This window comes from Homo sapiens, chromosome 19 (assembly GCF_000001405.40).
Source record: "Homo sapiens chromosome 19, GRCh38.p14 Primary Assembly".
NCBI classification, from domain to species: Eukaryota; Metazoa; Chordata; class Mammalia; order Primates; family Hominidae; genus Homo; species Homo sapiens.
In genome coordinates this window covers 9,557,309-9,585,248 of record NC_000019.10, presented here as the reverse complement: position 1 = coordinate 9,585,248, position 27,940 = coordinate 9,557,309, and the positions used below count along the sequence as shown (strand labels likewise).

The window sequence follows — 27,940 nt, the reverse complement described above, 5'->3', positions numbered from 1 at the left end:
GGAGGTTGAGGCAGGAGAATCACTTGAACCCGGGGGGCAGAGGTTACAGTGAGCCGAGGTCATGCCACTGCACTCCAGCCTGGGCAACAGAGTGAGATCTGTCTCAAAAAAAAATAAAAAATGAAAAAGAAAAACGAAAAAAGAAAACGCAATGGAACCAGCAGGTTCTAAAAAATAAAGAATGAAGAAATAAAGGCCTACAGAAAGCCTGACTGAATAGAAGAGATAGACCATGCCATTCACTGGCAGCTTTATCCATATGGAAGAATCATGGAAAGGCTCTAGGAACATGAGATGTATACAAACAAGCTTTATATATATGTATACACACATATATATTTTAATAAAGGATGTTGCTATTTTGCCCACGCTGGTCTTGAACTCTTGGACTCAAGCTATCCACCTGCCTTAGCCTCCCAAAGTGTTGGACTTACAGGCCTTAGCCACTGTGCCCACCTGGGAAAAGCTCTGCAGGAGCATCCCCTGGGGTGCGTCCCATCCCCCACGCCCGCCCTTCCAGCAGGTCCGGCCACCTGAACCGCCGGCTAGCCGGGTCCCACCTCTAAACCGCCCCCAAGTAAGGGCCTGTCCGCGCCCACCCGGGAAGAAACTACAATTTCTGTGTTTGACTGGGTCCTATGTGGCTGAAACTCGAACCCAGGAGCCCCGCCCGGCCCGAGGCTCGGAGCGGAAGTGACGTCAGCGCACAATCGCCATCTTTTCCGGCGCTGGCTCCGCATGGTCAGTGCCATTTCGCCTTTATCGTGGTGGAGTCCACCCTGGCTGTGGTGAGTTCCGCCTGCTTGGGGATCCCGGAGATAGCGGGGGGCGGCAAAGGAACGATTGGGTGCTGTCGCCCAGGAGCCTCTCCGATCCGCCTCGTTTCACTCTCTTCTCCAGGGGCTGTCGGTCCTCCTTGCGCGGCCAGTGGCTAGAGGCCGCAGGCTCAGTGGGTCCCAGTCAGGAGCCAGGTCGGGAAGTGTGTTTGTCCCGACTCCGCGCGTTTTCTGGAGTGGTTTCATCCGCTGTGCTCCCTTCTTCAAAAGCTTGGAAAGCAACCTTTGTGAGTTTCTTTCTTTCTGAAAGTAAAAGGATTTCTGCCGTTCCAGTCAGGTTGGCTCCGGCCCCGCATTTCCGCGCCTCAGGAACCTGGCGTTTCCGGCATGTTCCTGGTGAACACCTGCAGAAAATTGGTTTCAAGAGGGCTCTGACTTCCATTTCTTTGCTTAAAAATGTCTCGTCTGAGAATCTGGCATTGATGTCCTATTCTTATTTTTGACACATTACTTTCTGATGGAAAAAAAATAGTCGTTTAGGGTGTGCCTATATCTGCATGTAAATATGAACACGTGTAGACTGTGAGCCTTTAGTTTCTTATTTTATTTTCTTGGACTTAATGTTTTTTGTTGTTACCAGCTACAAGCCTTTCTACAAAAGAAAGGCAGGCTGGGCGCGCTGGCTCACGCCTGTAGTCCCAGCCATTTGGGAGGTCGAGGCGGGCAGATCACCTGAGGTCAGGAGTTCGAGACCAGCCTGGCCAACATGGTGAAACCCTGTCTCTACTAAAAATACAAAAAATTAGCCAGGCGCGATGGCGGGCGCCTGTAGTCCCAGCTACTCGGGAGGCTGAGGCAGGAGAATGGCGTGAACCCGGGAGGCGGAGCTTGCAGTGAGCCGAGATCGCGCCACTGCACTCCAGCCTGGGCAAAAGAGGGAGACTCCGTCTCACACACACAAAAAAAAAAAAAAAAAAAAAAAAGCCAGGCTTGGTGGCAGTCCCCTGTAATCCTAGCTACTTGGGAGGCTGAGGCAGGAGGATTGCTTGAACCTGAGAGGCCGAGGTTGCAGTGAGCCGAGATCTGCCACTGCACTCCAGCCTGGGCGATGAGAGCGAAACTCCGTCTCAAAAAAGAAAGAAAGGCAATAATACACAGCTGTTGTCTTTATCTGAAGTTCCTAGGTCTGTACCCCCCCACAGAGCTTCAAAACGGGCCCACAGGAAGAAAGGATGGAGGCTTTTGTTTGTTTTTTTCAGACGGAGTCTTGCTCTGTCGCCCAGGCTGGAGTGCAGTGGCGCGATCTCAGCTCACTGCAACCTCCACCTCCTGGGTTCAAGTGATTCTCCTGCCTCAGCCTCCGAGTAGCAGGGACAACAGGCATGGGGACCATGCCCAGCTAATTTTTTTTTTTTGTATTTTTAGTGGAGACAGGGTTTCACCATGCTCGCCAGGCTGGTCTCGAACTCCTGACCTTGTAATCCGCCTGACGGCCTCCCAAAGAGCTGGGATTACAGGCGTGAGCCTCCGCTCCTGGCCAGGATGGAGGCTTTATAATCAGAATATTATTCTAGTATTAGTGTAATAAAGTAGTATCTATTGAATTTATTAACAGCATGTTTAGACTAAGTGTAGTTTTGACATTTTTTTCTGAAAAATTTGATCCTAGGGAAAACTTGAACATCTAACACACCCAGTCTAGTAGTTTTTTTTTTTTTTTTTTTGAGACAGAGTCTCGCTCTGCTACCCGGGTCGGGGTGCAGAGGTGCGATCTCGGCTCACTGCAACCTCTGCCTCCCAGGTTCAAGTAATTCTCCTGCCTCCCTAGCATTAGGTGCGTCCATGTGAAGAGACCACCAAACAGGCTTTGTATGAGCAATAAAGCTTTTAATCACCTGGGTGCAGGCAGACTGAGTTCAGAAAAGGAGTCAGCAAAGGGAGATAGGGGTCGGGCAGTTTTATAGGATTTGGGTAGATAGTGGAAAATTACAGTTAAAGGAGGTTGTTCTCTTGCGGGCAGGGGCGGGGATCACAAGGTGCTCAGTGGGGAGCTCCTGAGATTCATTGTCCAGGAGAAGGAATGTCACAAGGTCAATTGATCAGTTAGGTTGGGGCAGGAACAAATCACAATGGTGGAATGTCATCAGTTAAGGCAGGAACTAGCTATTTTCGCTTCTTCTTGTTGTTCTTCAGTTGCTTCAGGCCATCTGGATGTATACGTGCAGGTCACAGGGAGTCTGATGGCTTGGCTTCGGCTCAGAGGCCTGACACCTAGTAGCTGGGACACAGGCACATGCCGCCATGCCCAGCTAATTTTTTTTTGTATTTTAGTAGAGACAAGGTTTCACCATGTTGGCCAGGCTGGTCTCGAAATCCTGAGCTCAGGCAGTTCACCTGCTTCGGCCTCCCAAAATGCTGGGATTACAGGTGTGAGCCACTGTGCCTGAACACTTACTTTTTGAGCATTGTGCTTGTTTTCTTTCACCTCAGGTAAATACATTTTATGGTGAACAATTTGAGTGTAAATTGAGCATAATTGCACACGTGATACTTGACCTTTAAATACTTGGTAATGCATCGCCTAAAAAAATAGCACTGTCATTCTGAAACCACAATACTAGTATTTCACTTAAATAAAAAATAATAATGTCATCTAATGTCTGCTTTTTATAATAACTAAAATTCTCCGCATTGATTCAACGTATGCTCTTGGATGTTTTTGGGTTTAAGATCCATTCAAGATTTTTACATTGCAATTGTTAATGTTTTCAGTGTCTTTTTACCTAGAACAGTTATTATTGTATATTATATTGACTTTTGGAGAGTCACACTGTGGGATATGAGGATATGATGAGGTTTCTCTTCAAATAATCTCATCAATCTTTTATTCTCTAATTCATAGTACCCCCCCTTTTTCTCCTTTTTTCTCCTTTTTGCCTTTGTTAGATGCCCAGGCATGCCACAGTACAAAGCGTTATCAGTACCAGCTCACATACCTTTCCTTACTTAGAAAGAGGACTTTCTAGCTCACTACAGACATCCCTTCCCCTTCCTCTCCACTTTTCTTCTACGTGCCCACCCTATCTAAAAAAAATCAGGTGTTTCACCAACCGGGATTAGTTTAGATTGTACGACCTGACCCCGGCCAATAGGGAAAGGGTACAGGGGCAGGACTTGCATCAGGAGTAAAGGCTCTCATGCCCCTTTGTTCAGGTGTGCTCTCATGGCAACTGGTCAAGGAGGCACCCCTCTGCACAGAAGTAAAATTGCTTTGCTAAGAATCCTTTGTTCGAGTGTTCAATTTCCTTAGGATTTTGAGCGTTATTCCTAACACTCATTCTCTTAGAAAGTCATACAATCAGATATTTCTGATTGGATTCTCATGGTGTGTGTAAATATTCCTTTATTTCATGCGATTTCCTACAAACTCGGGGTTTTTGGCCTAAAGGAGAAGCTGACAACCTTTGTTTGATAAGGGCTGACAGTATGTACTTCGTGCTTTGGGGACCAGAAAGTCTCAAATTACTCAGATCTGCCTTAGTTACTTCATGTCCCATGATTAGTTGTTCATTCTCTATCGCATGGTAGTGGCAAACCACAACCTGTTTCTCAAAAGAGAAACAGTTAATCTGCACAAGAGGGCATGGATTGACTATGGAATACCAGAGGCCTCTACTCTACATCTTCTGTTGGTGTATGCCAGAGGCTTCCAATAAATAGGATGCCATTTAACATGGACACGTTGAGTATCATTGGGTCTGCTGGATCAGGTGGACCAAGTGCTTGGGAAGCCTGCAGTGCAGCCTGAAATTGCTCTTGTCTACAGTTGAAACTAGAATCCTTACAGGCAACTGTGTGGGGCGTTAAAGCACATACAAATGTATATGTTGCCTCCAAAATTCAAGAGGTTTACGGGTGGTAGCTCTATTGACAGTTCTATTTTTAGTTTTTTGAGAAACCCCCATACTGAGTTTTTTTTTTTTTCTTTTTTGAGTCTTGCTGGATCACCCAGGCTGGAGGGCAATGGCATAATCATGGCTCATTGCTCGTTTTTAGTGGTAGGTGGTATTAGGTGAAGTAACTTGGAGGGACATCTTGCAGGGAATGTCTTTTTGTAGGGAATGTCTTTACATGATCCAGACAAGGGAATATCTATCTTTTTTTTTTTCTTTTTTTCTTTTTGAGACTAGTTTTTCTCTGTCACCCAGGCTGGAGTGCAGTGGCACAAACTGGGCTTACTGCAAACTCTGCCTCCCGAGTTCACGCCATTCTCCTGCCTCAGCCTCCTGAGTAGCTGGGACTACAGGTGCCCGCCAACACGCCCGGCTAATTTTTTGTATTTTTAGTATTGACGAGGTTTCACCGTGTTAGCCAGGATGGTCTCAATCTCCTGACGTCGTGATCCGCCCGTCTCAGCCTCCCAAAGTGCTGGGATAACAGGTGTGAGCCACCCGCGCCTGGCTGACAAGGGAATATCTTTACCCACAGACATGGTGGCCCCAGAATCTCCCACCCTCTATTTGAAAATTCAAAAAAAGTTTTTTGATTCATAATAGACGTACATGTTTTCTGAGTACATGTGATAATTTGATGCATTTATATTATCAAATCAGGGTAAGTAGAATATCTGTCACCTTAAATATTTATCCTTTCTTTATTGCAGGAAAATCAAGTTATTCTCTTAGCTGTTTTGAAATGTACAATAGATGAGTGTTAAATGTAGTCACCCTACTGATCTATTGAACACTAGTTCTTATTTCTTCTAACTGTGTATTTTACCCATGAATCAACCTCTCTTTTTTTTCTAGAGACGGAGTCTCACTGTTGCCCAGGCTGGAATGCAGTGGCATGATCTCGGCTCACTGTAACCTCCACCTCCTGGGTTCAAGTGATTCTCCTGCCTGGGACTACAGGCGCACGCCACAATTCCCAGCTAATTTTTGTATTTTCAGTAGAGATGGAGTTTCGCCATGTTGGCCAGGCTGGTCTCGAACTCCTGACCTCAAGTGATTCACCTGCCTTGGGCTCCTAAAGAGCTGGGATTACAGGCATGAGCCACTGTGACTGACAGGTTTTATGTGTGCATATGTGTGCAGACAGGTCTTCCTGTGTTGTCCAGGCTGGCTCGAACTTCTGGGCTCAAGTGATCCTCCCACCACAGCCTCAAGTTTTGGGATTACAGGCATGAGCCACTACACCTGAGTATTGTTCTCTATAGTGGCTGTACTAATTTACATTCCCATCAACTGCATACAAGGATTATCTTTTCACCACATCCTCATCAGTATTTGTTATTCCCTGTCTATAAAAGCCACCCTATGAGGTGAGATGACATCTCATTGTGGTAATGTGTGATTTGTATTTCTTTGATGTTTAGCCATGTTGAGCATTTTTTCCGTATACCTGTTGGCCATTTGTATGTCGTTTTTTGAGAAACAAGTATTCTGACCTTTGGCCAATTTTTTGATCGGATTTTTTTTTTTTTTTTTTTTGCTATCAAGTTGAGTTCCTTATATATTTTGATTACTAATCTTTGTCAGGTGGATAGTTTGTAAATATTTTTTTCCCATACTCTAGATTGTCTCTTCAGTTTGTTGATTGTTTTGCTGTGGAGAAGTTTTTAGTTTGATGTAATCTCATATGTTTATTTTTGCTCCTGTTGCCTGTGCTGTTGAGGTCTTACCCAAGAAATCTTTACCCAGACCAATGTCCTGGATTGTTTCCCCAGTTTCTTCCTCTAGTAGCTTTATAGTTTCAGGTGTTAGATGTCTTTAATCTGTTTTGATTTTGTTTATGCTGAGAGATGGCATCTAGTTCATTCTGCATATCGTTATTCAGTTTTCCCAGCAGCACTTATTGAAGACTGCTATTTTCCCATTGTATGCTTTTGGTGCCTTTGTTGAAAATGAACTGTCTATAAATGTGTAGATTTATATTTAGGTTCTCTGTTCTCTTCCATAGATCTATGTGTTTGTTTTTATGTCAGTACCATGCTGATTTGGCTATGGTAGCTTTGTAGAATATTTTGATATCAGGCAGTTTGATGCTTCCAGCTTTTTCTTTCCTTCTTTTTTTTTTTGAGACTAAGTCTCGCTCTGTCTCCCAGGCTGGAGTGCAGTGGTGCGACCTCGGCTCACTGCAACCTCTGTCTCCCAGGTTCAAGGAATTCTCCTGCCTCAGCCTCCCTAGTAGCTGGGACTACAGGCACGCACCACCATGTCTGGCTAATTTTTTGAGGTGGAGTCTCGTTCTGTCACTCAGGCTGGAATGCAGTGGTGTGATCTGGGCTCACTGCAAGTTCCGGCTCACTGCAAGTTCCACCTCTTGGGTTCACACCATTCTCCTGCCTCAGCCTTCTGAGTAGCTGGGACTACAGGCACCCACCACTGGGACTACAGGCACCACGCCAGGCTAATTTTTTTTTTTTTTTGTATTTTTTTTTTTAGTAGAGATGGGATTTCACCATGTTAGCCGGGATGGTCTTGATCTCCTGACCTCGTGGTCTGCCCACCTTGGCCTCCCAGAGTGCTGGGATTACAGGCGTGAGCCACCACGCCCGGCCCACAGCTGGCTAATTTTTGTATTTTTAGTAGAGACGGGGTTTCATCATGTTGGCCAGGCTGGTCTTGAACTCCTGACCTAATGATCCACCTGCCTCGGCCTCCCAAAGTGCTGGGATTACAGGTGTGAGCCACTGCACCTGGCCACTCCAGCTTCGTTTTTTTTGGTCAGTATTTCTTTGGCTGTTTGAGGTCTTTTGTGATTGCATATACATTTTAGGATTTTTTTTCTCTTTTTGTGACGAATTTCACTGGTATTTTGAGAAGGGTTGCCCTGAATTGTAAATTGCTTTGGGTAGTATTGTCATTTTAACAATATTCTAATCCATGAGCATGGAATATCTTCCCATTTTTTTTCTGTATCCTCTACAGTTTGTTTCATCAGTGTTTTATAGTTTTCCTTGCATAGCTCCTTCACATTTTTGGTTACTTTTTTTTTTCTTTTTCTTTATTTTTCTTTTTTGAGACGGAGTCTTGCTCTGTTGCCCAGGCTGAAGTGCAATGGCTCAGTCTTGGCTCACGGCAACCTCCGCCTCCCGGGTTCAAGTGATTCTCCTGCCTCAGCCTCCTTAGTAGCAGGGACTACAGGCGCACATGCCTCCACTCCCAGCTAACTTTTGTGTTTTTTTTTAGTAGAGACAGGATTTCACCATATTGGCCAGGCTGGTCTCAAACTCCTAACTTAAGGTGATCCACCCGCCTCAGCCTCCCAAAGTGCTGGAATTACGGGCGTGAGCCACTGCACCCAGCCTGGCCTGTAGTTTTGTTGCTGTTGTGCTCTTCTCTGCTTTTGATATGAGAATAATGCTCACTTTGTAGACCAAGTTTGGAAATATTCTCTTCTCTTCAATTTTTTTTGAGGAATTCGAGTTGTATTGTTATTCTTTCAGTTTTTGGTAGGATTTAGCAGTGAAGCCATCAGTTTCTGGGCTTTTCTTTGATGGGATTCATTTTGTTACGGCTTCAATCTTGTTATTGGTGTGTTGAGGTTTTCTGTTTGTTCATGGTTCAATCATGGTAGGTTGTATGCGCCCAATAATTTGTCCATTTCTTCCAGGCTTATCAATTTGTTGGCATATAGTTTTTTGTAATAGTTTCTAATGATTGGTTGTATTTCTGTGGTTTCTGTTCTGTTTTCTTTTTTCATTTTTTATTTTATTTGGGTCCTTTTTTTCCCCTTAGTCTAGCCAAAGGTTGGTTGATTTTGTTTATCTTTTCAAGTAATCAACTTTATGTTTTATTAATATTCTGTATTGTTTTTTATTCTCAATTTTGTTTATTTTGGCTGTGGTCTTTATCCTTTTGATTTAATTGTGAGTCTGATTTGTTTTTGCTTTTCTAGTATCTTAAGGGTATCATTCGGTTATTTTAAATCTTTCTACTTTTTGTATGTACGTGTTTATTGCTGTAAAATACTCCCTTAGTACTGCTTTTATCCCATAGATTTTGGTATGTTGTAGTTTCACTTTAATTTGTTTCAAGAAATATTTTAATTTCCAAATTTCTGTGTGCTTTTGTACCATGGATTTTGATATGTCAACGTACCAAAACAATGTTCCGTTGTGTAATTTTTTTTTTTTTTGAAGGGACAGGGTCTCCTTGTGTTGCCCAGGGTGGTCTCAAAGTCCTGGGTGCAAGCAGTCTCCCCATGTTGGCCTCCCAAAGTGCCGGGATTATAGGCATGAGCCACCACTTTGAGCCTGTGAATCAAGGTTCCTCTTGTTAGTGATTTCTAGTTTTATTCCCTTGTGGTCAGAAAAGATGATATGATTTCTACATTTTTGAATTTGTTGTGACTTTTTTTTGTGGCCTAAGATATGGCCTGTTCTGGAGAATATTCCATATGCTGAGGAAAGGAATGTATCTTCTGTAGCAGTTGGATAAAATGTCCTGTGTTAGGCCTTTTTGGTTTAGTTTATTGCTTAACTTCTTCTGTGTTTCTTTGTTGATTTTCTAGCTGGATGATCTGTCCATTACCGAGAGTGGGGTGTTGAAATCCCCTACTATTATTACTGCACTGCAGTGTGTATCTCCCTTTAGATTTATTAATGTTTGCTTTATATACTTAGGTGCTCCAGTGTTGGGTGCATAAATATTGACAGTTGTTATATCCTCCTGCTGAATTGACCCCTTTATCATTATATAGTGACCTTCTTTTTTTTTTATTTTTGAGACAGAGTCTTGCTCTGTTGCCCAGGCTGGAGTGCAGTGGTGTGATCTCAGCTCACTGCAACCTCCATCTCCCAGGTTTAAGCAATTCTCCTGCCTCAGCCTCGTGAGTAGCTGGTATTACAGGCACACACCACCACACCCGGCTAATTTTTGTATTTTTAGTAGAGATGGAGTTTTGCCATGTTGGCCAGGCTGGTCTTGAACTTCTGACCTCGTGATCTGCCCATCTCAGCCTTCCCAGAGTGCTGGGATTACAGGTGTGAGCCACTACTCCCAGCTATAGAGACCTTCTTTATCTCTTTTTGTTTTTGTTTTTTTGAAATGAAATCTTGCTCTGTTGCCCAGGCTGGAGTACAGTGGCACAATATCGGCTAACTGCAACCTCCGCTTCCTGGGTTCAAGTGATTCTCCTGCCTCAGCCTCCAGTGTAGCTGGGACTACAGGCATGTGCCACCATACCAGGCTAATTTTTTTTTAATTTTTAGTAGAGACTGGGTTTCACCATGTTGACCACGCTGGTCTCTAACTCGTGATGTCAGGTGATCCGCCCACCTCAGCCTCCCAAAGTGTTGTGATTTCAGGCATGAGACATTGTGCTGACCTGAATACGGTATTCTTAGATATCAATTTTTTTCTTCCAGCACTTTGAAAATTTCATCCCATAGCTAAGCAAGGTGGCCCATGCCTGTAATTCCAGCACTTTGTGAGGCTGAGCCTGGTGGATTGCTTGAGCTCAGGACTTTGAGACCAGCCTGGGCAACTTGGTTGTAAAAAGTAAAGTAGACATTTTTCTTTAAAGACTTTTTTTTTTCCATCTAATGAGGAATAAATAACTTCTTTTTAGAAGCAAAACTTATTCAAAGACCTGTGTTAACATACTTAAATATCTGCTAGCTGTAATAAAGAAATCAATGTACTTTATGTTCTTAGCTCCCACAATTTAGCCTAAATATTTGCCCTGGCATGCTTATACTGGTCCAAGCAAGCATTAGGTCATAGCCTGTTCCTATTCCTTATTTGAAGATGTTTTTGCCTTTCTCAGCATTCCACAAGTTACTTCCTCCTTCCTTTCTTCTCCTCTGCCTTTACGCCTTTTAAAAAGTTCTAAGCCAATCAAAACAAGTACAAAATGTGAGGTTCCATTCCAGCCAGTGGAAACTGGACACAGCAGTAGGGTGGATGCGTCAGGTTATAAATGAACCTGTCTCCTTTGTTCGGTGTACTCTCATGGCAAATCTGCTGGGGAGTGTACCCTTTCTGCAGAAAGTGTAAAAATGGCCTTGCTAGGGCCGGGCGCGGTGGCTTGTGCCTGTAATCCTAGCACTTTGGGAGGCCAAGGCGGGCAGATCACGGGATCAGGAGATTGAGACCATCCTGACTAACACGATGAAAACCTGTCTCTACTAAAAAAACAAAAAATACAAAAAATGAGCCGGGCATGTTGGAATGTGCCTGTAATCCCAGGTACTAGGGAGGCTGAGGCAGGAGAATCGCTTGAACCTGGGAGGCGGAGGTTGCAGTGAGCCGAGATCGCGCCATTGCACTGCAGCCTGGGCGACAGAATGAGACTCTGTCTCAAAAAAATGTATAAATAAATTAAAATGGCCTTGCTAAAGAAATAAAATTTATGTTCAAGTGCTATTTCTTTACGGCACCGGGAAACAAGCATTTCAAACATGGTGAAGCCCCGTCTCTACAAAAAAAAAAAAAAAAGAAAGAAAGAAAAATTAGCCAGGCATTGTGGTGCACATTTGTAGTAACAGTTACTTGGGAGGCTGATGTGAGAGTATGGCTTGATCCTGGGAGATAAAGGCTGCATTGAGCCATGATTGTGCCACGGTACTCCAGCCTGGGCAACGGAGTGAGACCGTCTCACAAAAAAAGAAAGAAAATGTCATCCTACTCCCTTCTGGCCTGTGTGTGGTTTCCCTTGAGAAATCCTGTTGCCAGACCAGCTGGAGTCCTTCATGTTATTTGCTTCTTTTCTCTTAATGCTTTTAAGGTCCTGTCTTTGTCCTTGACCTTTGAGAGTCTGAAGATTGTATGCTTTGTAGTAGTCTCATTTGGATTGAATCTGTTTGGTGTCATCTTACCTTCCTGTACCTGGATATTTATATTTTTCTCAATTTTTGGAATCTTGTTATTTCCTTAATAAAGCTTTCAAAGCTTACCCCTTGCACTTGCTGCATTCCCTCTTGAACACCAGTGATTCCTAGGTTTGGTCTTTCAAGGTAATTTTCTGCATCTTGCCGACAATCTTAGTTCCTTTTCATTCTTCTCTTCTGGCTATATTTTCAAATAGCTTTTCTTCAAGCTCAGTGAATCTTTCCTCTGATCCATCTTGCTGTTGAGAGCCTCTACCGTGAACTTTTGAGTTGAGTATTTCTCAGTTGTAAGATTTCTCTTTTTTGTTGTTGTTAATATATTCTAAAGTTTTTTCTGATACATTTCTGAGTTGCTCTTCTGTGTTATTTTGGAGATCACTGAATTTCCTTAAAACTGTTATTTTGAATTCTTAGGGAGCTCACATATTGTCATTTCATTAGGTTCAGTCACTGATACTATTTTCGTCCATTTTAGGAGGTCGTGGTTCCCCATTTGCTGTTGTTTCTTGTGGATGTACATCTGTGTCTGTGCATTGAAGGATTAGTTATTTATTACAGTCTTTGTCTGGCTTGTGGTTTTTATTGGGTATGTTTTCTTTTTATCTTTTTTGTTGTTGTTTTGAGACAAGGTCTCTCTCTGTCACCCAGGTTGCAGTGCCGTGGTGTGACCATGGCTTACTGCAGCCTCTACCTCCCAGGCTGAAGCAATCCTCCCACCTCAGCCTCCTGAGTAGGTGAGGTGCACGCCACCACACCTGGCTACTTTTTGTACTTTTTAGTAGAGATGGGTTTTCATCTTGTTGCTGGTCTTGAACTCGAGCTTAAGCGATCTGCCTGTCTCAGCCTCCGAAAGTGATTTTCTTTCTTTAAAATTTCCCTAGGTCACTGCCTCGTTTTCAGCACTAGATGGAATCTTAAACCCACGTTTGCCTTTGCTATAGCAAACTATCAAGAATACTGCCCATTCAGAATGAGGGAGTCCTAAAGGGCATATTCCAGCACTGTGGGAAGGCTGGCTGTGTGTTCATGCCCAGGTGACCTGTGTAGCGTACCCCTACAGTATGGTGCTCCTGAACAGCCACTCTGACTTGGCTTCTCCTTTGGCCAAGTTATAAAACAGAGTTTCCAGGGCTGGGATGGTAGTCCTGCCTCCCATCTTTGTCCCTGGATGTCCTCAGGGATGTTTCTCCCTTCAGGCATTTGTAATGCTTCCTGTGGGTTGAGACAGGGAGGGACTGATCTTTTACCAGGGAACCCAGGATGATGGAGAAGGTGGTTGTCCACATTGATCTCAGTTTTTTCCAGTGTAGAAACTGTGAATTGGTAGAAATTTTCCACATTCTTGGAAACTTGATTCTCTTAACGTCTCCCTTGGAGTTTTTTCACTTCTTTGTAGCCCCAGAAACTGCCTAATTTTTATATTTTAGATCAGGGATATTGCTGGTGATAATTTTCACAATATGCATTTGGTTGTAGTTTTCTGTCAGGGGATTGAAACCAGCTTGCTTCTGTACTACCATTTTGGAACCGTAAATGCTGCATGCTTCTAATAAAGTTGTCTAAGGTATTTTCAGGCAGGGCACAATGATTCATGCCCGTAATCCTAACACTGGGAGGCTGACGTGGGAGGATTGCTTGAGACCAGGTGTTTGAGACTAGCCTGGGCAACGTAGTGAAACCTCATGTCTATAGTAAAAAGAAAAAGAAAAACAATTAGCCAGGCATGGTAGTATGTGCCTATAGTCCCACATACTCGGGAGGCTGAGGCAGGAGGATTGCTTGAGCCCGGGAGTTTGAAGTTTGAAGTTGTAGTGAGCTATGATCATGCCACTCTAATCCAGCCTGGGTGACAGAGTAAGACCCTGTCTCTAATTTTTAAAAATGTGTTTTCTACTTCCTATTCATTGGATATGATCAGTATAATGGTGTCAACATAGTGTACTAGTGTGGTGTTTCATGGAATGTCATTTTCTCTGGGGATTAAGTTACGACAGAGACCTCGAGAACTGACACATTCTAGGGGCAATGTTATGAAGATACATTGTTGGTCCTGCCAGGTGAAAGGTAACCAAGTCTTGTTTTTTTCAAATTGGTATGGAGAAAAGACATTAGCTATGTCAATGCCTGCATACCAAGTGACAGAAATTATGTTGATTTATCTAGTAAAGGCATTACATTTTGAAAAATGGCGGTAATTGGAGTGATCACCTAAGTTCATGATTTATGAATGATTTCAGTGTGGTAATTGAGTGACAGGTTATGATTCTCCACTGGGATAAATCCAGTTTTTGGCTACTATAGTTTAGACTTTTTACATAGATGGAGCAGTATTCAAGTACAGAGATTGGTACACTATGGCCCATGGGCCATATCTGTCTCTCCATGTGTTTTTTGTATATAAAGTTTAATCAGAACACAACCGTGTTCATTTGTTTACATTTTCTATGGTATTTTCCATGCTACAACAGCAGAGTTGAGTAGCTGCAACAGAGACCATGTGGCCCATAATGCCTAACATATATTTTGTGGCTCTTTAGAGTAGGCTTTGTTAACTGCTTATCTATTTCATTTCTAGGGACAGCACGATCAGTTAGCCACCACCACAGATCTCTGTAGGTCAGGGCATTCTGATTACTGGTACATTTCCACTGTCCTTGATAGTTGATTTTCTCACCTTGTGTTTGGTGATTAAATACTACCTTCTTGATTTCTGCTATTCTGGGTCCCCTTCATCTCGATTGAAAGCAGGGAACTCGGCTGGGTGCGGTGGCTCACGCCTGTAATCCCAGCACTTTGGGAGGCTGAGGCGGGCAGATCACCTGAGGCCAGGAGTTCTAGACCATCCTGGCCAATATGGTTAAACCCCGTCTGTACTAAAAATACCCCCCCCCCTCGCAAAAAATTAGCCAAGTGTGGTGGCAGGTGCCTGTAATCCCAGCTACTTGGGAGGCTCAGGCAGGAGAATCGCTTTAACCCAGGAGGCGGAGGTTGCAGTGAGCCTAGACTGCGTCATTGCACTCCATCCTGGGCAACAAGAGCAAAACTCCGTCTCAAAAACAAACAAACAAACAAAAAAACCCAGGGAACTCATCTCAGTGATGGTATTCTTTGCAGTCATACCTGTCCTATGAAGGAGAATACCAACAGAGCTTTTCAAGGATTACGACACTCCCGCCACTACTCTCTTAATAACCTTTGTGAAGAGAGTGTCTTCTGCTCTGTCAACAAAGGGCGGGGGAGTGGGCTATACAGATGACACATAGTAAATCCAGTGCAACACTCCTGTCTCTCTAGGATTCCCTCCTTCACATTATGCCAGGGAAGCTCTGGCATATGAGCCTCATTAATTATAACAATTTCAGCCCTGAGAACATAAGAAATAACTTTATTTCAGGGGTGTCCTAAAGAAGCTCTCTGATTCTTTTGTTTTTGGATGGAATCTTGCTCTGTTGCCCAGCCTGGAGTGCAGTGGCATGATCTCGGCTCACTGCAGCCTCTGCTTCCTGAGTAAAAGCGATTCTCCTGCCTCAGCCTCCTGAGTGGTTGGGACTACAGGCACGTGCCACCACGCCCTGCTAATTTTTGTATTGCTTGAACTAGGGTGGGCGGCGGCAGAGGTTGTAGTGAGCGAAGATTGTGCCACTACACTCCAGCCTGGGGGACAGAGCAAAAATCTCTCAAAAAGAAAAAAAAGAGAGAGAGAGAGAGATGTAATACTACCCATGATATAAGAAAAGCTACAAAAGACACAATATTCGAGCTTTTGACGATATCGTAAAAAAAAAAAAAAAAAAAAAGATCTCGGCCAGGCGTGGTGGCTCACACCTGCAATCCCAGCACTTTGGGAGGCTGAGGTGGGCGGATCACCTGAGGTCGGGAGTTCAAGACAAGCCTGGCCAATGTGGTGAAACCCTGTCTCTATAAAAATACAAAAAAATTAGCCAGACCTGATGGTGGGTGCCTGTAACCCCAGCTGCTCACGAGGCTGAGGCAGGAGAATCACTTGAACCTGGGAGGTGGAGGTTGCAGTGAGTTGAGACAGTGCCATTGCACTCCAGCCTGGGTGACAGAGTGAGACTCTGTCTCAAAAAAAAAAACAAAACCAGAAAACAAAATAATGATCTCTCTTTGCACTTGGATTATTTCCTATTTGAATACACGTTTTAATGGTTTTTATTTTATTTTTTTTAAGACAGGGTCTCACTTTGTCACCTAGGTTGGAGTACAGTGGTGCAATCATGACTCACTGCAGCCTCAACCTCCCCAGGCTCAGGTGATTCTCCCACCTCAGCCTCCCAAAGTTCTGGGATTACAGGCATGAGCCACTGCGCCCAGTCTTTAATGGTTTTTAAATGTGTATTTAAGTCTGAATAGTGGGTATTTGGTCAGAGATAACCAACTCCTCAGGGCACAAAAGGATGAGATATATGAAATTTGAGCTCTTTTAAAATAGTTTCACTACTCTCTTTAGGAATATAGTTGTTTTTTTCTTGGTTACGTTTGTCATTTCCTTCATAAGCCTCTTCCATTGATGTATCTTTCCCTCTGTACAGGACCTATTCAAACTCAGTCTGTCTCTTGACTGGAGGAGGAGAAGGAAAAGTTGAGCACATTGCCAACCGGAGTTCCCCAAGGTGAGTATGAAGAACACTCCTGGTCAATGAGAAGTTCAGTATGTTTGGAAGCATAATGAAGATATATTTAAAAGATGTACTTTGTCACAGAACATGGGGCCATTGGACTTGGAAGTTTTAGGGTATCTTCAACTTTCCATATTCCTCTCTTTTTCATCTAACCCAGACTTTCATGTGATTTTGCAAATGAGTGCTCTTTTATCTTTTTGTTTATGACTTTAATGTGTGCTCTTTATCCAGATCATTTCTATTTTCCTTCCCTAATACTATTTCTGTTCATTATCTCATTTAATTTCTATAGAATAAATTGTTTAAAAAATTACTAAATTGCTGGGCATGGTGGCTTATGCCTGTAATCCCAGCACTTTGGGAGGCTGAGGCGGGTGGATCTTTTGAGGTCAGGAGTTGAGACCAGCCTGGCCAACATGGAGAAACCCCGTCTCTACTAAAAATACAAAAATTAGCCGGGCCTGGTGGTGGGCACCTGTAATCCAAGCTACTCGGAGGCTGAGGCAGGAGAATCGCTTGAACCCAGGAGGTGGAGGTTGCAGTGAGCCGAGATCATGCCACTGCACTCCAGCACTCCAGTCTGGGTGACAGAGCGAGACTCTGTCTCAAAAAAAAAAAAAATTACTAAGTTTAGACCCCAAGTCCTTACGATTGCCAAATGTTCGTCATGGATAAACTGTTCAAATCTATGTCTGTTTAATTTTTTTGAGTGTGCTGAATATGACAAATAAAAATGAGCTTTATAATTCTGACTTATTTAACCTACTGTTTTGTTCTCAGACCCTATTTTTTTTTCTTTTTTTCTGTTTTACTTCAGAATGGCAAGTTAAAACCAAAGTGTCAGCACCTCAACAACATTTTTTTTTGGCTTAACAAAACATCAAACGGCATACAAATGGTAAGATTAAGATTTCTTATTTACCACACTCAAAAAAAGATTGGGATTCAATTATAAAAAATCAGCAAAAATGAGAGATATTTGAGAGAGGTAACATTTACTCAAGCAGGAGGAATGTCTCTAGAGCAAGGGTCCCCACTGGTACTGTTTCTGTTAGTGTTAGGAACTGGGCTGCACAGCAGGAGGTAAGTGGCAGATGAACGAAACTTCATCTGTGTGTATAGCCATTCCCCATCGCTTGTATTACTGCCTGTCATATACTCCACCTGTCAGTAGCAGCATTCGATTGTCATAGAAGCACAAACCTTACTGTGAACCACCCATGCGAGGGTTCTAGATTGTGTGCTCCTTATGAGACTGATGATCTGTCACTGTCTCCCATCACCTAGATGGGACTGTCTAGTTGCAGGAAAACAAGCTCAGGCCTCCTGCTGATCCTATTTTATGGTGAGTTGTATAATTATTTCATTATATATTACAATGTAATAATAATAGAAATAAAGTCACAGTAAATGTAATGTTGTTGAATCATGCTGAAACCATCCCTATCCCACCCCTATTCCACCCCTGTTTGTGGAAAAATTGTCATCTACGAAATCAGTCTCTGGTAGCAAAAAGGTTGGGGACCTCTGCTCTAGAGGGATACTCTAAATGTAATGCATTTGGGGATACCTTAATCCTATCTTAAAACTTGGTGCTTCAGCATTCTCACAAGTACAAATTATCACATATGTAGCTAGATTATAAAAACAATTTCATGAAAATATACAGGAATTATTTCAAGGTTCTTAGAGCAAATGGCACAGGGTTCTTGCCAGTAGGTTTTCTTCATTCAACTTGTAAGAAATACATGGGGCAGCAACTGTATGCATGTAATGAAAATGGCAAAAATTATAATCATAATAAACTGTCTGATTTCAGATGGGTAAAATCTGTTGATAAATCTGAAAAATCCTTTAATCATCATTCATCCCTTTATTAACAGGCAGAAATCCACAATGGAGGGGAACTCTGTGACTTTATGGAAAATGGAGAAATCTTCAGTGAACACTCATGCCTTAATGCACACATGGGAACTGAAAATACAGGGGACACTTATGACTGTGATGAGTATGGAGAAAACTTTCCCATGTTACACAACAGTGCCCCTGCTGGAGAGACACTTTCTGTGTTGAATCAGTGCAGAAAAGCCTTCAGCCTGCCACCAAATGTTCACCAGAGAACGTGGATAGGAGACAAATCCTTTGAATACAGTGACTGTGAGGAAGCCTTTGTTGATCAGTCACATCTTCAGGCAAATAGGATAACTCACAATGGAGAAACACTCTATGAACAGAAGCAATGTGGGAGAGCTTTTACTTACTCCACAAGCCATGCTGTGTCTGTTAAAATGCATACTGTAGAAAAACCCTACGAATGTAAGGAATGTGGAAAATTCTTTAGATATTCTTCATATCTTAATAGTCACATGCGAACCCATACTGGGGAGAAACCCTATGAATGTAAGGAATGTGGGAAATGCTTCACTGTTTCTTCACACCTAGTTGAACATGTAAGAATTCATACTGGAGAGAAACCTTATCAATGTAAGGAATGTGGAAGAGCCTTCGCTGGGCGCTCAGGCCTTACTAAACATGTACGAATACACACTGGAGAGAAGCCCTATGAATGTAACGAATGTGGGAAAGCCTACAATAGGTTTTATCTACTAACTGAACATTTTAAAACTCACACAGAGGAGAAGCCCTTTGAATGTAAGGTATGTGGAAAATCCTTCAGAAGCTCTTCATGCCTTAAGAATCACTTTAGAATTCACACTGGAATAAAACCCTATAAATGTAAGGAGTGTGGGAAAGCATTCACTGTTTCCTCAAGCTTACATAATCATGTAAAAATCCATACTGGAGAGAAGCCCTATGAATGTAAGGACTGTGGGAAAGCCTTTGCTACATCTTCACAACTCATTGAACATATAAGAACTCACACTGGAGAGAAACCGTATATATGTAAGGAATGTGGGAAAACCTTCCGTGCTTCTTCACATCTACAGAAACATGTTAGAATTCACACTGGAGAGAAACCCTATATATGTAACGAATGTGGGAAAGCCTACAATAGATTTTATTTACTTACTAAACATTTAAAAACACACTGAAGAAAAACTCTGAATGTAAGGAATGTGGAAATCTTTTAGGAATTTCTCATACCATAATTACCACATTTGAATTCACACTGAAGAGAAATTTTATTGGTACAAAGAATGTGAGGAGGCCTTCAGTTATCCCCATTCACTTCGAAGACATGAAAGAACTCATACTCTATGTGTCCCCTATAAATTTTAGGAATGTTAGGGAGCCAATGGAATCTTTTTTTATTATTTTATTTTATTTTATTTTATTTTATTTTATTTTATTTTATTTTATTTGAGACAGAGTTTTGCTGTTGTCATCACACAGGCTGGAGTGCAATGGCATGATCCCAGCTCACTGCAACCTTTGTCTCCTGGGTTCAGGCGATTCTGCCTCAGCCTTCAAGTAGCTTGGATTACAGGTGCCGTCAACCACACCCAGCTAATTTTTGTATTTTTAGTAGAGATGGGGTTTCACCATGTTGGCCAGGCTGGTCTCGAGCTCCTGACCTCAGGTGATCCACCCGCCTTGGCCTCCCAAAGTGCTGGGATTATAGGAGTGAGCCACTGCTCCTGGCCTTTTTTTTTTTTTTTTTTTTTTTTTTTTTTTTTTGTAAGTCGTTGTTAATACACATTCTTTTCTCAAGGGATTGGATTGTGGTCACAATCCAACATTTGAGAACTCACCATGGGGCCATACAATGTAGAAAACACAGAAAGCCCTCATTATTTCCTTAGGCCTTTCTAAGTATATAAGATGTTGCAATGGAGAAGAGAAACCCTATTGATACAAGATACAGGCATGCCCTGTAGATATTGTGAGTTTTGTTCCAGACTACCACTATAAAGTGAATATCACAATAACATGAATCATACAAATGTTTTGGTTTCCCAGTGCATATAAGTTAGGTTTACATCATATGGTAGTCTCTTGTGTGCAGTTGTGTTATGTCTAAGTAAAGTACCTTAGTTTAAAATACTTTATTGCCAAAAAGTGCTAATGATCATGTGAGACTTTGGTGAGTTGTAATCTTTTTGCTTGTGGTAGGTCTTGCCTCAGTGTTGATGGCTGTTGATCAGGGTGGCTGTGGCAGTTTCTTAAAATAAGACAGCAGTGAAGATTGCTGCATTGATTGACTCTTCATTACATGAAAAACTTCTCTTTAGCATTCGACGCTGTTTGATAACATTTTACGCATAGTGGAACTTCTTTTAGAATTGGACTTAATCCTCTCAAACTTCGCCACTGCTTGATCAACTAAGTTGATGTAATATTCTAAGTCTGTTGTCTTTTCAACAATGTTCACAGCATCTTCAGGAGTAGATTTCATTTCAGGAAACCACTTTCTTTGCTTATCTATACAAAGCAGCCTCTCATCTGTTCAAGTTTTTTCACGAGATTGAAACAATTCTGTCACATCTTCAGGCTCCACTTCTAATTCTAGTTCTCTTTTTTCCATCACATCCACAGTTACTTTTTCCACTGAAGACTTGAACCCCTCAGAGTCACCTATGAAGGTTGGAATCAACTTCTTCCAAACTCTGGTTAATGTTGGTTTTTATTTTTTTAATTAAAAAAATTTTTTTTAGAGACAAGGTCTCGCTGTGTTGTTCATGCTGGAGTACAAGTGGGTATTCACCAGCACGATGAGAGCACACTGTAGCCTTGAACTCCTGGCCTCAAGTGATCCTCCTTCCTATGCCTCCTGAGTAGCCAAGACTCCAGGCACACACCACCACACCTGCCTTAATGTTGATATTTTGACCTCCTTCCATGAATCATAAATGTTGTTAATGGCATCTAGAATGGAGAATCCTTTCTGCAAGGTCTGCAACTTAATTTATCCAGATCCCTCAGAAGAAGCATTATTAGTGGCAGCTATAGCCTTATGAAATGTATTTCTTAAATAATAAGACTTGAAAGTCAGAATTATTCCAGAATCCATGGGCTGCGGTTAGCAGACATGAAAACGCCAATCTTGTTTATACCTCCATAAGAGCTCTTGGTTAGTAGGTTCATTATCAGTGGTAATATTTTGAAAGGAATCTCTGAACAGTATGTTTTACAGTGGGCTTAAAATATTCAGTAAACCATGCTGTAAATAGATGTAAATAGATACCACAGGAAGAGTAGATGTAGCATAATTCTTAACTGGCTCTTGGATTTTTGGAATGGTAATTGAATATTAGCATTCATTTAAAGTCACCAACTGCATTGACCTCTAACAAGAAAGCCAGCCCAGGCTGGGAAAAGTGGCTTACACCTGTAATTCCAGTGCTTTGGGAGGCTGAGGTTGGAGGATCACTTGAGGTCAAGAGTTCAAGACCAGCCAGCACAACAGAGCGTGACGCTGTCTCTACAAAGTAAAGAGTCAGCCCGTCCTTTGAATCTTTGAAGTCAGATATTAGCTTACCTAGAGCTGTGAAAGTCCTAAATGGCATCTCCTGAAGTAAGGCTGTTTTGTCTCTGTTAAAACTCTAGTAGAGCTACCTCTGCCATTTATCTAGATATTCTGGAAATGCTTGCTGCAGATTCCACATCAGCAATTGCTACTTCACTTTGTACTTTTATGTTATGGAAATGACTTGTTAAACCTCACGAACTGATCTTTGCCAGCTTCCAGCATTTCTTCTGCAGCTAACTCACCTCTCAGCCTTCATAGAATTAGAGTTAGGGCCTTGCTCTGGATTAGGTTTTGGCTTAAGGGAATGTTGTGGCTGGTCTGATCTTCTATCCAGACCACTAAAACTTATTCCGTGTTAGTGGTGAGGCTGTTTTCCTTTCTTATTATGTGTGTGTTCACTGGAGTAGCACTTTTAGTTTCCTTCAAGAACTTTACATTCACAACTTGGCTAACTGGCACAAGAGGCCTAGATTTTGGCCTATCCCAGTTTTTTTTTTTTTTTTTTTTTTGAGACATGGTCTCCCTTTTGCCCAGGCTGGAGTGTAGTACAGTTATAGCCCATTGCAGCCTCAAACTTACGGGTTCCAGTGATCTTCCTGTCTCCTGAGTAGCTAAAGACTGCAGGTGTGCACCACCATGGCCAGCTAATTTTTTTTTTTTTTTTTTTTTTTTTTTAAAGAGGCAGGACTTTACTGTTTACCCGGCTGATCTTGAACTTAAAACCTCAAGTGATGCTCCCCTATCTGCCTCCCAACACTCTGGGATTACAGGTGTGAGCCACTGCACCTGGCTCTTATCTTGGCTTTTGACATGACTTTCTCACTGAGGTTAATCATTTCCAGCTTTTGATCTAAAGTGAGAAATTTGCAACTCCTTCTTTCACTTGAACAGTTAGAGGCCATTGTGGGGTAATGAATTGGCCTAATTTCAATATTGTCCCTCAGGGAATTAGGAGGCCTGGGAAGAGGAGGAGAGAGGGGAGAGTGGCCAGTTGGTGGAGCAGTGAGAACATAGCATTTGTTAAGTTTGCTGTCTTCGAAGGTTGTGGTTTGTGGTACCCCAAAACAATTAAAATAGGAACATCAAAGATCACAGAGCAGCCGGGCACGGTGGCTCACACCTGTAATCCCAGCACCTTGAGAGGCTGAGGTGAGTGAATCATGAGGTCAGGAGTTCGAGACCAGCCTGGCCACCATGGTGAAACCCCGTCTCTACTAAAAATACAAAAAATTAGCCGGGCATGGTGGCAGGCACCTATAGTCCCAGCTATTCAGGAGGCTGAGGCAGGAGAATCACTTGAATCCAGGAGGTGGAGGTTAGAGTGAGCTGAGATCACACCACTGCACTCCAGCCCAGGTGACAGAGTGAGATTCCTTCTCAAAAAAAAAAAAAAAAAAAAATCACACAGCACCACAGTAAGTATAATAATAAGGAAAATGTTTGAAATATTGTCAGAATTGTCAGGATGTGAGAGACAAAGTAAGCACATGCTGTTGGAAAAAATGGTGTTATAGATTTATTCGACATGACATTGCCACAGGACTTCTACTTGTGAAAAATATCTGTAAAGTGAGATGAAGCAAAGTGAAGTAACATGAGGTATGTCTGTAGCTGTTGCTGTAGTGGTTTCCAAATGGTGGTTTTCTTTTCCTTTTTTTTTTTTTTCTTTTTGGTCTGCATTGGGGTCTTGCTCTGTTGCCTAGGGTGTGGAGTGCGGTGGCATGATCATGCCTCACTATAGCCTTGACCTCCTGGGCTCAAGCGATCCTCCCACCTGAGTCTCCTGAGTACCTGGGACCACAGGCACATGCTAACGCACCCACTTAATTTTTTTATTCGTAGAGCCGAGGTCTCACTATGTTGCCCAGACTGGTCTCAAGCTCTTGGGCTCAAGCAGTCCTCCTGCCTCAGCCTCCCAAAGTGCCAGGATTACAGGTGTGAGCCACCACACCCAGTCCAAAAAGTGATTTTCTAATTCCATAGTTTCTTCTACATTTCTTAACTGGAATTTTGTAAGGAAGAGTTATCCTTATTCATTTATTTACCCATTTACTTGTAGGAGCATGTATCATAAATTCTTAATCTATGGGGTGTAGTTAGCTACTGTAAATTTGATGCACATATTTTTCCAGATTCAATAAGTAGGATCCCCATCAAGCTATCTTCTGAATCTTTAAAAATGTATTCTCCTTATTTCATGGGTATATAATTATTTTCTGGGCAACAGTTTGTTCATGGTACATTTGTCTCCAGCCCTAGACTCAGAAAAATGTAATTTATTTTAATGGAGAATACTATTTAGAAGCTGCAGTCTCTGTGTAGGGAGGTGTTCCTAGGTAATAGTGCCCTGGCTTTTAGGTCTTCTCTATGGAGGATATGGCAAAGACATACAAAATTATATATACGTATCCACACATTAATAACTCTATTTCTATATTAAAAACATGACCACAAGCCAACACTTTTAATTCCACTGCAGCACTGCTGGGTTATTTCTTGCTTTCCAAATTCCCTTGTCTGTAGCTATCTTTCATCACTTGCAAAAATAGCACGTGCTCAATCCTAGATTAAAATATAAGCTACTCTCAGAATTGATAACTCATACCACTCTTTTTAAAAATCAACTAACCAGAATTCAGTTTTTATTCACAGTTCTTATCTTTAGCTCAGGGCGTAATATAAAAGCACTAGGTTTAAAACTTACTTGGTCAGCAGCAATCCACTTCTAGGTACATGTCCAAAGGAACTGAAGAAAGCATCTCAATGTGTGAATGCCTACCTGTGTTCATTGCAGCATTATTCAGAAGAGCCAAGAGGTGGAAGCAAAGTAAATGTCCATTGACAGATGAATTGGTAAACAAAATGCATTATATACATACAATGCAATATCATTTAGCCTTAAAAACAAAATTCTGCCATATGCTACAACATGGACGTTATGCTAAGTGAAATAAACCAGTTCCGAAAGGACAAATACACCCATTTCCACTTATATGGGGTATCTAACGTCAAACTCAGAAGAACAAAGTACTGCGGTATTTGCCACAAGCTGGTGGAGGAGAAAATGAGTTGTTCAATGGGTATTGAGTGTCAGCCACGCAAGATGGAAAAGCTTTTTGAGATTTGTTGTATAAAAATATGCCTATAGTTAACAATACTCTTCGGTACACACAAAGTATGTGAAAGGGTAAATTTTATGTGTTTTTATCACAATAAAAATTGTAATAAAAGAAGTTACTTGGGTCAATTTTGTGCTTTTTACCCCCCTCTTCATTGTTGAATTTTTATCCATTTGATACAAAGTTCATTTCAGTAATTCCTGTTAATTTTCCATTTTGTGTCACACCGTTATCCTTGTCGATTTTTTTTTAAATTAGATATGTAAAACAGGCCAGGCATGGTGGCTTATGCCTGTAATCCCAGTACTTTGGGAAGCCGAGGTGGGCGGATCACCTGAGACTGGGAGTTGGAGACCAGCCTGGCCAACATGGTGAAACCCTGTCTCTACCGTAAATACAAAAATTAGCCAGGCGGCTGGGTGCCGTGGCTCATGCCTGTTATCCCAGCACTTTGGGAGGCCGAGGCAGGCAGATCACAAGGTCAGGAGTTCAAGACCAGCCTGGCCAATATGGTGAAACCCCATCTCTACTAAAAATACAAAAATTAGCTGGGTATGGTGGCAGGCGCCTATAGTCCCAGCTACTCAGGAGGATGAGGCAGGAGAATCACTTGAACCCGGGAGGCGGAGGTTGCAGTGAGCCGAGATCGTGCCACTGCACTCCAGCATGGGTGACAGAGTGAGACTCTGTCTCAAAAAAAATAAATAAAAGGCTGGGTGTGGTGGCTCATGCCTAAGTGGGCAGATCATGAGGTCAGGAGTTCAAGATCAGCCTGGCCAACATAGGGAAACCCCGTGTCCACTAAAAATAGAAAAATTAGCCGGCCGTGGTGGTGGGTGCCTGTAGTTCCAGTTACTGGGGAGGCTGATGCAGGAGAATTGCTTGAACCCCAGAGGCAGAGGTTGCAGTGAGTCAAGATTGCACCACTGCACTCCAGCCTAAGTGACAGAGCGTGACTGTCTCAAAGAAAAAAATTAGGCGTCATGACACCCACCTGTAATACCAGCTACTTGGGAGGCTGAGGCAGAAGAATCGCTTGAACCTTGGGGGTGGAGGTTGCAGTGAGCTGAGATTGTGCCACTGTACTCCAGCCTGTTAGAGAGTGAGACTGTCCCAAAAAAATTAATATGTGAAACAATAGTATGTTTTATTTTATACTGGTTTATCTTTTTTTTTTTTTTTGAGTCAGGATCTTGCTGTGTCACCTAGACTGGAGAGCAGTGGCATGATTGTACCTCACTGCAGCCTTATGCTCCTGAGCTCAAGCACTCCTCCCACTTTAGTGTCTCAAGAGGCTGGGAGTACAGGCATGCACCACCAGGTGCAGGCAGTTTTTAAATTTTTTACCCTTATTTTTTTTTGAGACAGGGTGTTGCTCTGTCACCCAGGTTGGAGTGCAGTGGTGCAGTCATAGCTCCCTGCAGCCTCACACTTCTGAGATCAAGCAGTCCTTCTCCCTCAGCCTCCTGAGTAGGTAGGACTACCAGCGTGCACCACCAGGACTGGCTAATTTTAAATTTTTGTAGAGACAGGATGTGGCAATGTTGCCCAGGCTGGCCTCAAACTCCTGGTCTTAAGGGATCCTCCCATCCTGGCCTCCTAAAGTGCTGGTGTAACAGGCATTAGCCACAACGCCCACCTAATTGCATACTTTAAACATTAGAACTAAACATAAACGTTTTTCTTGCCTTATCCTTTCCAGTCTGTTCTAATCTCACTGTCCTTTACAACCTGTTCCTATCCCATCAGCTATAGGTAATGAACCTTTTTCTCTGAATAATCCTGTGTTTTCTTCTAGCAAAAATGAACATATATATATTTGTTATTGCCCATTTAAAAAAAGATTTCAGGCAGGTACGGTGGCTCACGCCTCTAATCCCAGCACTTTGGGAGGCTGAGGCGGGTAGATCACAAGGTCAGGAGATCGAGACCATCCTGGGTAACACGATGAAACCCCCTGTCTACTAAAACTACAAAAAATTTGCCAGGCGTGGTGGTGGGCGCCTGTAGTCCCAGCTACTCGGGAGGCTGAGGCAGGAGAATGGCATGAACCCGGGAGGCAGAGCTTGCAGTGAGCCGAGATGGCGCCACTGCACTCCAGCCTGGGCAACAGAGTGAGACTCCGTCTCCAAAAAAAAAAAGTTTCATACTATACTCTTGCAGTTTCTATTTTTGCCTAACAGTGTATCTTGATAACCACTCCATATAAATTCATAGATATATCTTCCTTTTTCACCTTCATTCTGTAGCTGCATAATACTCCTTTTGTGGATGTACCATGTAATATTCAGCTGCTCTACTACATGTCATCAATTAGAGAATTCAAATTTGCAATTACTAACAGGGATGCAGTTAGTATTCTTGAGCATGTGTATTTTTGTATATTTAGGCATTTACATTCAGGACAAATTCCTAGAATTAGGATTGCTGGATTAAATAGGTAGTATATTAGACATTGACAAATTCTCTGTGCTAGGCAGCCTCCAAATTGGCCTCCAGTTTCTGCTTCCTGGTATTTGAGGACTACCCTTGTGTAATCCTCTCATACTGTACTATGATTGATATGTGTAACCACCAGAATATGGCAGAAGTTCTGGTAAGCCAGTTCTGAAATTAGGTTATGAAAGCCCACACATAACTGGAGCCCCAGTATTAAAAACAATTTTAAAAAAGAGCAACTCATGCTTCCTGATGTCAAAAGTTACTATAAAACTACAGAAATCAGGCTGGGCATGGTGGCTCCTGCCTGTAATCCCAGCACTTTGGGAGGCCGAGGAGGGCAGATCAAAAAAAATGTGTTCATAAAAAAATGAACACAATTTTTTTTAAGTTCACATGACAATTCTTTTATAAATTAATTGGTTTTAAAGTTGTCGATAAAATTAGATATGTCTTCAAAATTGTCAGCATATATTTTTGTCTGGGTTTACTGGTCTGACAGTGTTGTGTCTGTCTCTATTAGATACTTTAAGTTCATGAAGCTAAACCCAATCTAAAACAATGATCTTTGTGCAATTCTTTTATAAGTGAGATTTACTTAATATTTTTGATTTAATAACAATAGCTATATCTTCTGAGTTATTGACAGAATAACCATGTATTTAGTGTAGGGTTTGAACTTTGGTAAACAATAT

General features: G+C 42.3%; 1 protein-coding gene across 3 annotated transcripts, besides 4 other annotated features; it reads left to right on the top strand.

Moving 5' to 3' along the window:
- Positions 355-1,166: an enhancer, noted in NCBI's record as "NANOG-H3K27ac-H3K4me1 hESC enhancer chr19:9694759-9695570 (GRCh37/hg19 assembly coordinates)". NCBI's record gives its function as "activates a minimal SCP1, AML or CMV promoter by ChIP-STARR-seq in primed H9 embryonic stem cells {active_cell/tissue: H9 hESC(primed)}" and the evidence as "EXISTENCE:reporter gene assay evidence [ECO:0000049][PMID:30033119]".
- On the top strand, positions 745-24,920 carry ZNF121 (zinc finger protein 121). 3 transcript variants are annotated; one of them, NM_001308269.3, is made up of 5 exons: positions 745-788; positions 16,167-16,247; positions 17,074-17,154; positions 17,544-17,601; positions 18,140-24,920. In NM_001308269.3, exons 4-5 carry the CDS (start codon positions 17,599-17,601, stop codon positions 19,307-19,309), a joined length of 1,173 nt encoding a protein of 390 aa, NP_001295198.1. In that variant the 5' UTR covers positions 745-788; positions 16,167-16,247; positions 17,074-17,154; positions 17,544-17,598; the 3' UTR covers positions 19,310-24,920. The 3 variants fall into 3 exon arrangements, with proteins under 3 accessions (NP_001295198.1, XP_016882728.1, NP_001008727.1); XM_017027239.2 differs by lacking the exon at positions 17,544-17,601 and adding an exon at positions 901-1,063; NM_001008727.5 differs by lacking the exon at positions 17,544-17,601.
- Positions 1,981-2,793: an enhancer, noted in NCBI's record as "NANOG-H3K27ac hESC enhancer chr19:9693132-9693944 (GRCh37/hg19 assembly coordinates)". NCBI's record gives its function as "activates a minimal SCP1, AML or CMV promoter by ChIP-STARR-seq in naive H9 embryonic stem cells {active_cell/tissue: H9 hESC(naive)}" and the evidence as "EXISTENCE:reporter gene assay evidence [ECO:0000049][PMID:30033119]".
- Positions 2,794-3,607: an enhancer, noted in NCBI's record as "NANOG-H3K27ac hESC enhancer chr19:9692318-9693131 (GRCh37/hg19 assembly coordinates)". NCBI's record gives its function as "activates a minimal SCP1, AML or CMV promoter by ChIP-STARR-seq in naive H9 embryonic stem cells {active_cell/tissue: H9 hESC(naive)}" and the evidence as "EXISTENCE:reporter gene assay evidence [ECO:0000049][PMID:30033119]".
- Positions 18,365-18,866: an enhancer, noted in NCBI's record as "NANOG hESC enhancer chr19:9677059-9677560 (GRCh37/hg19 assembly coordinates)". NCBI's record gives its function as "activates a minimal SCP1, AML or CMV promoter by ChIP-STARR-seq in primed H9 embryonic stem cells {active_cell/tissue: H9 hESC(primed)}" and the evidence as "EXISTENCE:reporter gene assay evidence [ECO:0000049][PMID:30033119]".
- Positions 24,921-27,940: the final 3,020 nt, after the last annotated feature.